The sequence below is a fragment of the Homo sapiens genome, chromosome 4 (assembly GCF_000001405.40).
Source record: "Homo sapiens chromosome 4, GRCh38.p14 Primary Assembly".
In the NCBI taxonomy this organism is placed as follows: domain Eukaryota; kingdom Metazoa; phylum Chordata; class Mammalia; order Primates; family Hominidae; genus Homo; species Homo sapiens.
In genome coordinates this window covers 101,725,459-101,737,848 of record NC_000004.12, presented here as the reverse complement: position 1 = coordinate 101,737,848, position 12,390 = coordinate 101,725,459, and the positions used below count along the sequence as shown (strand labels likewise).

At 33.8% G+C, this 12,390-nt stretch overlaps 1 long non-coding RNA gene across 1 annotated transcript in view, besides 1 other annotated feature; it reads right to left on the bottom strand.

Moving 5' to 3' along the window:
* The window catches only part of LOC107986297 (uncharacterized), a 64,842-nt gene that overhangs the window by 16,440 nt on the left and 36,012 nt on the right, over positions 1 to 12,390 (bottom strand). The window lies entirely within an intron of this gene.
* Positions 6,943 to 7,237: a silencer, noted in NCBI's record as "tiled region #13477; HepG2 Repressive non-DNase unmatched - State 12:CtcfO, and K562 Repressive DNase matched - State 13:Ctcf". NCBI's record gives its function as "represses a minimal TATA promoter and a strong SV40 promoter by Sharpr-MPRA in HepG2 and K562 cells {active_cell/tissue: HepG2 | K562}" and the evidence as "EXISTENCE:reporter gene assay evidence [ECO:0000049][PMID:27701403]".

Sequence of the window (12,390 nt, the reverse complement as noted above, 5' to 3'; positions counted from 1 at the left end):
CTACATCTACATCTATATCTTCAGAAATCATCTTACTTTCTAATAGCTGGAGCACTCCAAATTTCAAAGCTGAAGCTTCATGTGCTGGTTCTGTTTTCATTCAGCCACTACTTTCTATGTACAAGACTATTCCTAACTTTTTAAAAATATCCCTATTAGATTAAAATATCTTTTAGAGCTATAACTGTAAATTTCATTCTTGTATATACAAAGTTCATACAAAGTATATCTGAAACTTCATTATCTGTTCTTAGAATAAAATGAAGACTGAGCTAACTTGATAGATATTGCTAAATAGTCCTCCATACAACAATCTGCATTAATGTGTTAAAGTGTTTGTTTTCCCATATTATGATATTGCTATTTATTGTTAAACCTTTTATTACCAATCTAAGATGTAAATAATACTGTTAATTGCCTATGTCAAATTAAATGTATTAAGGTCTAATTAGCATGCAATTAAATGAACTCAGCGTAAGTGCAAAGTTTGACAAGTTTTAACAAAGAATACACTTGTGTAACTCTCACCAAAACCATCCTAAAAGATTTTATGTGCCCCTTGCCAATCAATCCCTTCTTCTGGACTCAGTTAACCACTAATATGTTCTTTATTATGAAAAATAGTTTTGCCTTCCTGTAAGTTTCATGTAAATTGAACTATATGTATTCTTTTGTGTCTGGCTCAGCATTCAGTTTTTGAGATTTATCTATGTTACTGTATATGTTAATAATTTCTCCTTGTTATGGATGATTAAAATTTTATTATGGTTTATTTATTCACTTGTTGATGAACATTTGAGTCACTTCCAGCACTTGACTATGATGAAAAAGGTAGCACAAATATTCATGGAAAACCTTTGTATGGACTTATGCTGTAATTTCTATTGGGAAGAATCTAGGAGTAGAATTGTGGAGTCATATGGTAACTTGCAAGAAACTGCCAACTGTGTCTAGAGACTGTGTCATTATATATTACCATATAAAATGTATGAATATTACAATTGTTGAACATCTTCATCAAAACTTGGTGTTGTCAAGTTTAATTTTAGCTGTTCTAATGGGCACGCAGTGGCCTCTCACTTTTGGCTTTAATTTTAATTGATGTGAGTAATGATGTTAGTGCTTTTTCATGCTTTTTGGCCTCTTGTGTATTTTTTTAAAGTATTTGTTTAAATTTTCGTCCATTTTTTAAAAATCTGGGTTGTTTGTACTTTTTTATATATTCTGGAAACAAGTTATTTAATACAAAAAGTTGTATTAAATAACTTTGTCTGTGGCTTGACTCATTTTCTTTATGGTGGGCTTCCAAAGAGGAGGAGTTTTTTTGTATTGTTTTTTAGAAGAAGTGTAGATTACCAAAAATTTCTATTTGTAATGGAAAATTTTAATAGATCAATGATTGTTAAAGATCTTCTATCTATAATCAAAATATATATAAGAAATAGCACTCAAGTGGATTTATGAAAAAGTTTTACTAAATTCTAAAGGAAGTCATAATCCTTACCTTCCTATTAGCACAGTGAACCTATAACTTCCACTCTCATTTATTTTTTTAATTCTTTAATTTAAAAGCAGACTGTTCAGAGTTACCATATACACCCTTACCCCAAACATACATAGTTTGTCCTAATGGTAATATCTTATATTAGTGAGGTACATTTATTATAATTAACAAACCAATATTGATATATTATCACTAACTAAAGCCAATAGGTAATATTAAGGTTTGCTCTTTGTGTTGTACAGTTCTACATTGTTTGACAAATGCATAATATTATTTATCTATCAGTACTGTATCACACAGATTAATTTTACCACTCTATGCATTCCCTGGGATTCTTTAATACTCATCCCTAGCCCACCACCACTGCCCTGACAACCATATATCTTTTTACTCTTCCTATAGTTTTGCCTTTTCCAGAATATTAGATATATAGATGGAGTGATACAGTGTGTAGCCTTTTCAGGTTGATTTGATGTCATTTAGCAATATGCATTTAAGGTTCCTGCATGTTCTTTCATGGCTTGATAATGCATTTCTGTTTTTTATCACTGAATAATATTCCATTCTATGTATACACCACAGTTTGTTGATTGGTTCATTTATTGAAGAATATCTCAGTGGCTACCAGGTTTGGGAAACTATCAATAAAGCTGCTATAAACATTTGTGAGATTTTTATGTGGAGATAAATTTTCCACAAAAAATTTACAAGTATTTTGGGAGGCCGAGGCGAGTGAATCACTTGATGTCAGGAGTTCAAGACCAGCCTGACCAACATGGTAAAACTCCTTCTCTACTAAAAATACAAAAATTAGCTGAGCGTGGTGGCACACGCCTGTAATCCCAGCTACTTGGTAGGCTGAGGCACGAGAATCGCTTGAACCCAGGAGGCGGAGTTTGCAGTAAAACGAGATCGCGCCTCTGCACTCCAGCCTGGGCCAAGAGCGAGACTCCGTCTAAAAGAAAAGAAAACAAACAAACAAACAAAAAATCTACAAGTACAATTTCTGGATTAATGGTAAGACTATATTATACTTTGTAAGAACTGCAGGAAATAGAATTATAGGTTAACAATATCTTTCAGTGCTTTAATGATAGATATTATGCCTTCTGGCTTGCATGTTTTATGATGTGAAGTCTATGATTGTTATTTTGTTTGTAATGTAGTTTTTTTTTCTCTGAATGCTTTTAATATTTTCTTTTTATGACTAAGAGGTTGTCATAAATTTGATTACATTATATTCGGGTATGCTATTTATTCTGTTTGTTCTTGTTGATATTTATTCTACTTCTTGGATCTGAGGGCTTACAGTTTTAATAAAAATTGGAAGTTTTTCAGCTGTTCATTGTTTCTACAAATGAAACAATGTAGAAACAATTGTAGAAACAATGTAGAAACAATGTAGAAAGAAACTCCCTTTCTCCCACTCTTTATTTCATACATGGAACTTAAATTTCATACATGGTAGACCACTTGAGACTCCATTCTCAATTTTTGTTATATTTCTCTTTGTGCTTGATTTTTGATAGTTTGTACAAGTTTTCAAAAGTCCCATTGTTCCACTTCCTCTGGGTAGTACCCAGGACAAGACAACCACTATGAATTGAGATCTGGAGCTTTTCCATATCTACCTACCTTATCTACCTCTTTTAGCTCAAAAAACAAACAAACAAACAAACAAACAAAAATATCTAACTCAAGTTAAATGTAGGAAAGACAAATAGAAGGAGGGAAAGCTAATTCTTACATTACAGAGAAAACTGGACAAGATTTTTATTTTAGTAACAGAGAAAAAACATTTACATGTGACACATGGTCCCTGTGCTGCCCTGATTGACTACATTATGATTTATTACTTGTTTATAACTTTTGTACTGTGTTTGTTGGTGATAGAGGAAGAAAAACCCTTTCATTCTACCTTATTTCTGATACTTTGTCTTTACCGGAAAAGAAGAAAGCTGGTCATTTGCTTCAATAATTGAGATTTTTTTAAATTTTATATCATTAAAGGAATGCATTTTACAGACTTCAAATAAAAGGGTAATAAGAAATTTTTAAGCTTTTTTTTGAAGGACAGTTTCATAATCTTTTCTTCCTTCATCAACATCGGCGTAATCATCACAAATTTGAGGTATTAAGGTTATTGTCAATGAAGTTTGTTTAAACCAAAAAATGAAATTTCCTAAAGAATAATATTTCAAAGTATGAAGACAGCATATCATGCTTTTATATTGGTAAACACAATTTTTAAAATATTTCATAAGTACTAGATCCCACTGTAACTCTTTTAACCATATCATAGCAGAGAAAGAAATCCAGAACAACTTTCCTTTAGTAAAGAAGCAAATAATTTGAAAATTAAGACTTGTGAAGCTTAAGAAAAAATGAATATAGAAAATTTGATAAGACCAGCTCAGTTTAAGATAATGAGTTACATGCTTTTTAAAAAAAGCATTATCTTTATTTCCTCTACCACAAAATTAGTAAGCTATTTAGTGATTTCAGGAACACTCGATGTACTCTCTACATCTTTTATCTAAAGCTGATAAAATTCCCGTTTTCAATATTGCAACATGAATCACAAGTAATTGAACATAACATAAATCAGGTTAGTCCAAAGTTTCCTGGAAAAATGACAGAAATTAGAAAAGAATTGGTCATTATTCAGTACCAAAGTGGGAAGGAGGGTAGTTCCTCGTGAGTGAGAAGAATTACATCTTGGGGAATGTGAACATTGGCTCCCAAGGGCTATCCTTGTCACACTCCCACAGCAGGGAAGTGCATAAAATTTCAACACACACACAAGCTTCAGTGAATTGCCAATTATTACTTATTCTGAATAGCATGCCCTGATCAATAATATGTGTCTAACACCCACTTGGAAAATAAAATTATGGTCTAAGAACAGGCAGTGTAATACCATATAATCTTTATTAAAAGTCATCTCTTCAGCATTTACATATAATTTCTCTTAAATAAACAGCATATCAGTATTTTATATTATTACTTGGTGTTTTCTATGTTCTGGGAAACTTAAAAGTTTGTGTCATATGTATATTTATGTTTTTAAGAATTTAAACTCTTGGCCAGGCGCGGTGGCTCACACTTGTAATCCCAGCACTTTGGGAGGCCAAGGTGGGCAGATCACCTGAGGTCGGGAGTTCAAGACCAGCCTGACCAATATGGAGAAACCCTGTCTCTACTAAAAATACAAAATTAGCTGGGCTTGGTGGTGCATGCCTGTAATCCCAGCTACTCGGGAGGCTGAGGCAGGAGAATTGCTTGAACCTGAGAGGTGAAGGTTGCGGTGAGCCAAGTCGTGCCATTGCACTCCAGCCTGGGCAACAAGAGCGAAACTCCATTTCAAAAATAATAATAATAAATAAATAAATAATAAATAAATAATTTAAACTCTCAGTACATAATATCTTCCTCTAAATTATTCTGTTTAAGACAGGGGTACACAGTGTCATGGTAAAAGTATGCTGCTGATTGTCCAAAGCTCTGCTAATTATGAAGATTAAATTTGGATAATAAACTATTAATGGATTTCAAAAGGCTATGATCACGGGCATAAAATGGTAAATAATCTTTAATATTGTATAACTTATAAGATAGTTTATCTGAGGAACATTGAAAAGAGCCAATGCCTCTAGAGTACCTTGTAAGAGCTAAGCACTTTATATATATTGTCAGTTAGACACCCCCCCAGTTGTTGAGGATTTAGACATTTTAATGACATTTACAGGTAAAGAAATTTAGATTCACAGAGACTACTCCATCCAGGATTATTTAGATAGAACATGGTAATGTGGTAAAGCTGATCATAAGCCCAAGTATATCTGAATCCAAAGCCCCAATACCAGTATGGTTTCCATTCCCTCATGACTTCTCACTAAAAAAAGAAGAAACAAGTCACATTATAAGATAATGTGCTCCTAGCTAATATATTTGAGGAAGAGGATTAAGGAGTCTTTGTTTCTAATATTTACTTAGACATCAGATGCATCCTATGCCTATTTCTATTTTGTGCTATTTTGTCTGTTTTCTCACCTCCACAAGATCGAGAGTTATTTTAATTCAGAGATTGTGACTCATTTTTCTGTCACCACAGGATACAGTACATTCATTCACCCATTCACAAATATTTGTAAAGTACCTACTATGTGCCAGGAATTATATCAGGTCTTCAGGAAAAAGCAAGAAAGATTAGTTTCCTATGGAGTAGAATAAATTCTACTTGAATAAATACACTAAGAATATTTTCAAAGGAACACATATTCAAAGTGCAATCATTCTCTCATCTATTTACCTTATTTCTAGTTGCCTCTTTATAAGAAAGGTGATGACGAAGGTTAATTAAAAACAAAACATGCGTCAGAACACCTAGCATAGAGTCATGATTTTGCAGCATATATGTTAGACATGTCAATTAACCTCTTTAAACCTTACTTTCTTTTATGTAAGTCAAAGATGAAATCTGTGATATGCAAAACGCAAAGATTTTATTATTCTTAAAATATACAGAACTACAGTAAACTAATCAAACCAAATGAATTTATAGAAATAAAAAAGCTAAAGAAATTTGGGAATATTAGGAAATTAATTTTAAAAGTAAGTATAAATTGCCTATGAAAAAGAAATAATATTCAGAATTACTAATAGTAAACATTCACAGTAAAAAAGAAGTATTATTATCTTCTAACAATTGCCAAGTATTAAAATGATTAATAATTTCTAGTATTAGAAATGGAATAAGGAAATATAGCAAACATTGTTAGAACTTTTGACTCATGCCTTTTTACAGAACAATTTGGCAATGTACATCACAGCTGTAAACATGCCATTTGACCGTACAATTTTGTGATAGCGTAAAGAAACAATAAGTAGATAAGCTAATAAAGATGTATGTATACAAATGTTTGTGATTACATTTTTAGGATACTAAGCATTCCAATGATGGAATAGAATATTAATATTGAAAAAAATGTATTGTTAAGTAAAAGTACACATAGAATTAATTACATGCATTTGGCTTCACTTTATTAAAAATGTATGGTCAAACATTTGCATGCTATCTGATGATAGCATATCTATCTCTCTGACTGGTGATATGCTTTTATGTAGATTTCTGAGTTATTTAAACATGTATTATAATGAACACATATTAAAATATAGATGTTAATTCATGCCTATCTCAGAGGGTTATGGTATACATCAAATAAAATAGAATTTATGAAATGTAAGAGTAATATACAAATGTAAGGCATTTAAATTGTAAGCTAGAATACAAGCAAACAATCTTGAAACTTGAGTTCCACTAAAATATAACACATAATAAGCTTAGGTAAGAAATTTGTATGCAATAGAGAAAGCTAAACAACTTTAATCAACAAAACTATTTTGTTAGCTAAAAGAAAGGAAAAAAAAATGTACAGTATTTCTTTTTTGTCACAGTCCCCAGATCGGCGGTAGAGGTTCCCAGTCTGTGGCAGCTCTGCTTAATGATAGATGTACCATTTTCAACAAGTAGTTTTCAAATTCACCCTGGGATTTTTCTCTATCCAGGTTAACCAGAAGAGAGAAAGAGGACAAGTGCATGTAGGAAGTTATTATAGGTCAGGCCAGCAGGTGGCATGCCTAACCTCTGTTCATATCCCATGGGGTGGGAACTTAGTCACAAGGCCACATGGCCAGGGATGCTGGGAAGGGCCAATTTACTGCATGCTCAAGAAGATAAGTGAGAGATTTTAGTGGACAGCTAGCAGTCTTTGCCAGAGCTCTAACCAACAGAATCTATGCATGCTTTTCTTGCTTCATTTAGAACATATTCACTCTGTCCTGAAGAGCCACCCCATCCAGCCAAATGTTCAGATATCTTCGAAACCATCACTGTTCTGCATCAGGTACAGGAACAGGAACAGATCCTTACGGTCTGATAATGAGGGAGTATGGGAAGAATAAACACAATGAAGGTTCCCCAAGGGAAGAATGAACCTTACCCATTGGTCACATCCATCTGCTGAGTAGGTATTGTGAAGACTCCCTGCTCTGTCCCAACATGATCACTTGTCAGGAAAGTGGAAATGGAGCCTTTGTTATCTATATTTAATGGCTTTTAAGGTCATCTTGTTATTGGTATCAGTGTCTGCTAGAGGAAGAAAGAACATGGAGGAGGGCATATGGAAGGCCCAGAGGTTGTATAAATTGCTTCTGCTCACGTTATAGGGGCTAGAACTTAGTCACAAGGCCATAACTAACTACTAGGGGGACGGCTGGCAACTTCAGTCTAGCTATGGACAGAAGAAAAACAGGGAAAAAATGATTTTGATTTAAGTAGTCTTTCTTAACATCCAAAAACCATTAAGAAAAACCAAGAGAGAAAAGTTACCTCATATCCTTGTGCTTTTTATTATTATTTTTTTTTGTTTTGAGCTCACAGTTATTTGTTCTTAATCTATGGAAATCTCTAGAGTTGAAATTGGAAATGCTTTTCTGCAAGATTACTTGAATTTGCTTTTATTTATAGCCAGAGGACATGGCTCTTCTGGGACCACTTTTCTTTCTGTGAAAATCCAGGCTCAATGAGAGTCTGAGGCTGAGTTCCTTACCTTGCTTTTACTGAAGTGCTTAGCTAAGGTCAACCCTGCCTTTTCTGTCGGCTCATTGGTCTGAGATCACAGCTCTGGTTTCTACTCATAAATATTTTGGGGGTGAGCTTAGAGATTTCCCTTTCTTTTTATAACCTTAACAATGTACTAAGAAGTATATTTTACTCAGAATGTAGGGGTTTGTAGTGAGAGGGACTTATAGTTAAACTAATCTACCATATAGCTGAAAGTGTAGCTCTAAGGGAAGAATTTTGTTTTAATATCCCTAATTAAAGACTTAAAAATTGACAAATAAAAATTGTATGCATTTATGGTATATAATGTGATGTTTTTATATATGTATACCTTGCAGAATGGCTAAATAAGGCTATTTAACGTATGCATTACCTCACCTGCTTGTCATTTTTTGTGATGAAAACACTTAAAATTTTCAAGTATACAATTTTCAAGTATACAATATATTGTTTTTAACCTTGATGTAAAATAGATCTATTGAACTTATTCCTCCTATGAATTTTGTGTCTTTGACCAACATCCCCCAACTCCAAGCCTCTGGTAACCATAATTTTACTCTGTTTCTTTTTTTGTTGTTGTTTTTGAGACGGAGTCTCGCTCTGTCGCCCAGGCTGGAGTGCAGTAGCGCAATCTCGGCTCACTGCAAGCTCCGCTTCCCGGATTCAGGCCATTCTCCTGCCTCAGCCTCCCGAGTAGGTGGGACTACAGGCGCCCGCCACCATGCCCGGCTAATTTTTTATATTTTTTTTTAGTAGAGACGGGGTTTCACCGTGTTAGCCAGGATGGTCTTGAACTCCTGCCCTCGTCATCCGCCCACCTCGGCCTCCCAAAGTGCTGGAATTACAGGCGTAAGCCACCGCGCCCAGCCAATTTTACTCTGTTTCTATGCATTTGATGACGTTTTTAGATTCCAAATATAAGTGAGACTATGCAGTAATGTCTTTCTGTTTCTGGCTTATTATAGCCAAGATATGGAATCAATCTAAATGTCCATCAACAGATGAATGGATGAAAAAAACGTTGTATATATACACAACGAAATACTATTCAGCCCCTGAAAAGAGGGAAATGCTGTCAATTGTAACAATGTAGATGAACCTGGAGAACATAGATTCTTTTTGACCTACCTCTTCCTTACCTTGTCAAATAATTCTAAAATTGTTGTTTTCTCAACTAATTTTTTTTTTTTTTTTTTTGAGACAAAGTTTCGTGGTCGCCCAGGCTGGAGTGCAATCTCGGCTCACTGTAACCTCCGCCTCCTGAGTTCAAGCGTTTCTCCTGTCTCAGCCTCCCAGGTAGCTAGGATTACAGGCGCCTGCCACCATGGCCAGCTAATTATTGTATTTTTAGTAGAGACGGGGTTTCACCATGTTGGCCAGGCTGGTCTTGAACTCCTGATCTCAGGTGATCCGCCTGCCTCAGCCTCCCAAAGTGCTGGAGATGATTTTTTTAAAAGCATATTTTCAGCTCTTAAATGGAAATAAAAACTATAATCTTTACAGTTTAGGTCATTAAATATATTTTTGTAAAACTTAGCACTTGATATAGAAATGAACTCAAATTTGAAAACTGATATCGACAAAATACTCAATTCACCAGCCACCTCTGTGTTTGATAAAACTTACAGAAGTTCCTGATGATGTATGTTTTAAAGTCATTTTAAAATAAACTAGTTAATTATTTTATGGCTGAATATTATTCCATTGTATATATATACCACGTTTTCTTTATCAATTTTACCTACTGTTGGACTCTTAGATTGATTTCTTATCTTGATTATTTTAAATAGTGTTGCAATAAACATAGGAGTGCAAATATCTCTTCAATATACTGATTTCATTTCCTTAACACATTTACCCAGTAGTAGGATTGCTGTATCATATAGTTCTATTTTTAATTTTTTGAGGGACCTTTGTAGTGTTTTCCATGAGTGTAATAATTTACATCCTACCAACGGTGTGTAAAGGTTCCCTTGTCTTCACATTCTCACTGACGTTTGTTATTATTTAACATTTGTTAACTATTGCATTGCTTTTAATGGCAAAAACCGCAGTTACTTTTGCACCAACCTTCTTTTCCTCTTTTTAATAAAAGCCATTCTATGTGGAGTAAGGTGGTATCTCATTGTGGTTTTGATTTTAATTTCCATGATGATTAGAATGAAATCTTGTCATCTGGAACAACATGAATGAACCTAGAGGCATTATGTTAAGCAAAATGGGCCAGGCACAAAAAGACAAATACTACATGTTCTCACTCATATGCAAAATCCTAAAAAGGTGATCTCATAGAAATAGTAAATAGAACAGTGGTTACCAAAGACTGAAGAGGGTGGGTGGAAGGGAGCTTGGGGAGTATAGTCAAGGAACACAAAGTTACAATTAAAAAAGAAGGATAGATGCTGGTGTCCTATTGCATAGTAGAGTGACCATAGTCAACAATAAGATATAGCATATCTCAAAATACCTAGAAGAGAAGATTGTGTATGTTCTCACCACAAAGAAATGGTAAATGTTTGAATATGCTAATTACCCTGATTTCTTCATTGCATAATGTATACATATATCAAAGTATCACATTTTACCCCATAAATATGTACAATTATTATGTGTCAATTAAAATTTAAAAAATAGAATGAAATAAAGTACTGAAAGTTCTGGAGATTATGACTTTTCTTAGCTTACAAATGTTTTGAAATTTTTCTAGTCTATTCAAGATGGAACAATATTCTACAAGGTAGTAATGGGACTATTTCAGGATTTTTCAATAGTAATAGGACTATTTCAGGATTTTTTCATTTCTCATCAAAAATTTTCAAATTGTCTAATGGAGATCATCGTGTCTCACTGAAAATATTAATAAGTATCCAATGGTGAAATGATTCTATGGTCAAATAAACCTGGAAAAATTCTTTCTAATATGCCTGTTTTTCAGAGATTAATAATGTGTGTTAGCATACTAAAGTCTTACTGTATTTTTCTGTACTCTCAGGGGAAATATAAATGTTGAAATCTTTTTGAGAGCAATTTGGTATAATCCTTTGACTCACTAACAAAATTTTATAAATTTTGGTGAAAATTATCATATCACTTTTTGCCACAATTTAAAAATAATGATGTTTAAAAAGAAGGCAATCAAAATTGAGCATAGCAGCAATATTAGATAACTAGAGCAGAAAAGTACATTTGTCCACCAAACAATGATGTAAAGCTGGATAGGTCGCAATATGAGCCAACAAAATTTGCAGTCTGGAGGGGAAAACACCAGCATGGTATAGATTACATGGATGAAATGTCCTAGGTTGAATGTTGTTAAAGTGTTCTTTGTTTTGTTTTTTTCCATCCTGATGAAAAAACATGGCTTAAATTACATAGTACATGTAGCTGATTTCAGTATTTGTAGCTGATTTTAATAGTTTTAGTATTTGAGTTGCAAATAAATTTAGGAGGGAAATGGAGGGGGCACAGTATTGCTTATATATGTCTAATAAGATAAATTATTGACAATAATGGGAGTTAACAAGTTTGAAACATGAAAAAACAAGTCAAAGATAAATTGAGTGCACATTCAAATACTACACAAATAACAGGGCACTATAGCCCAAGAACTCAACAAGCAAGCCCTAATGGGAAATGAAACCCTACTGTGCAGGGGGATGCAGCTCTTGCTGCCTTGTACCAGGGTTTGTTAGCTTCAGCACTATTGACATTTCAGATGGGATTTTTTGTTGTTGTTGGGGGCTGTCCTATGTGCTGCAGAATACTTAATAGCATTCCAGGCGTCTACCTGCTATGTCAGTAGCAATCCCCTCTTCCAGTTGTATCAATCTAAACTGCCTTTAGACATTGTCAAATGTTCCCTTGGGGGCAAATTCTCTCCGGCTTGAGAACCATTGCCTTATACCAGTCACTAAGGAGTTGAACCAATGATCTAAACAATGGTTCTGTTTTTGTGCTTACTGAGCCATCTACTAAATTACCATTGAAGAGTGGGTAAAAGCAGATTACTTGGGTTCACAATCTAACTGTGCCATTTATTAGTTATATGGCCATGGTCAAGTTTCTTGACTTCTCTGTGCTTCGGCTATTCTTATTTATAATGTGGTGAGAATGACATCTACTTTATAGGTGTTTGTTGAGAAGATTCAATGACAACTTTTATAAAGCTCAGCAATAAAGACCTGGTACATAATGTTTTATTAAAATTTGGAATTAACAATGATATGATTACTAATTTCACTTACCTCATACTGTCTGACAG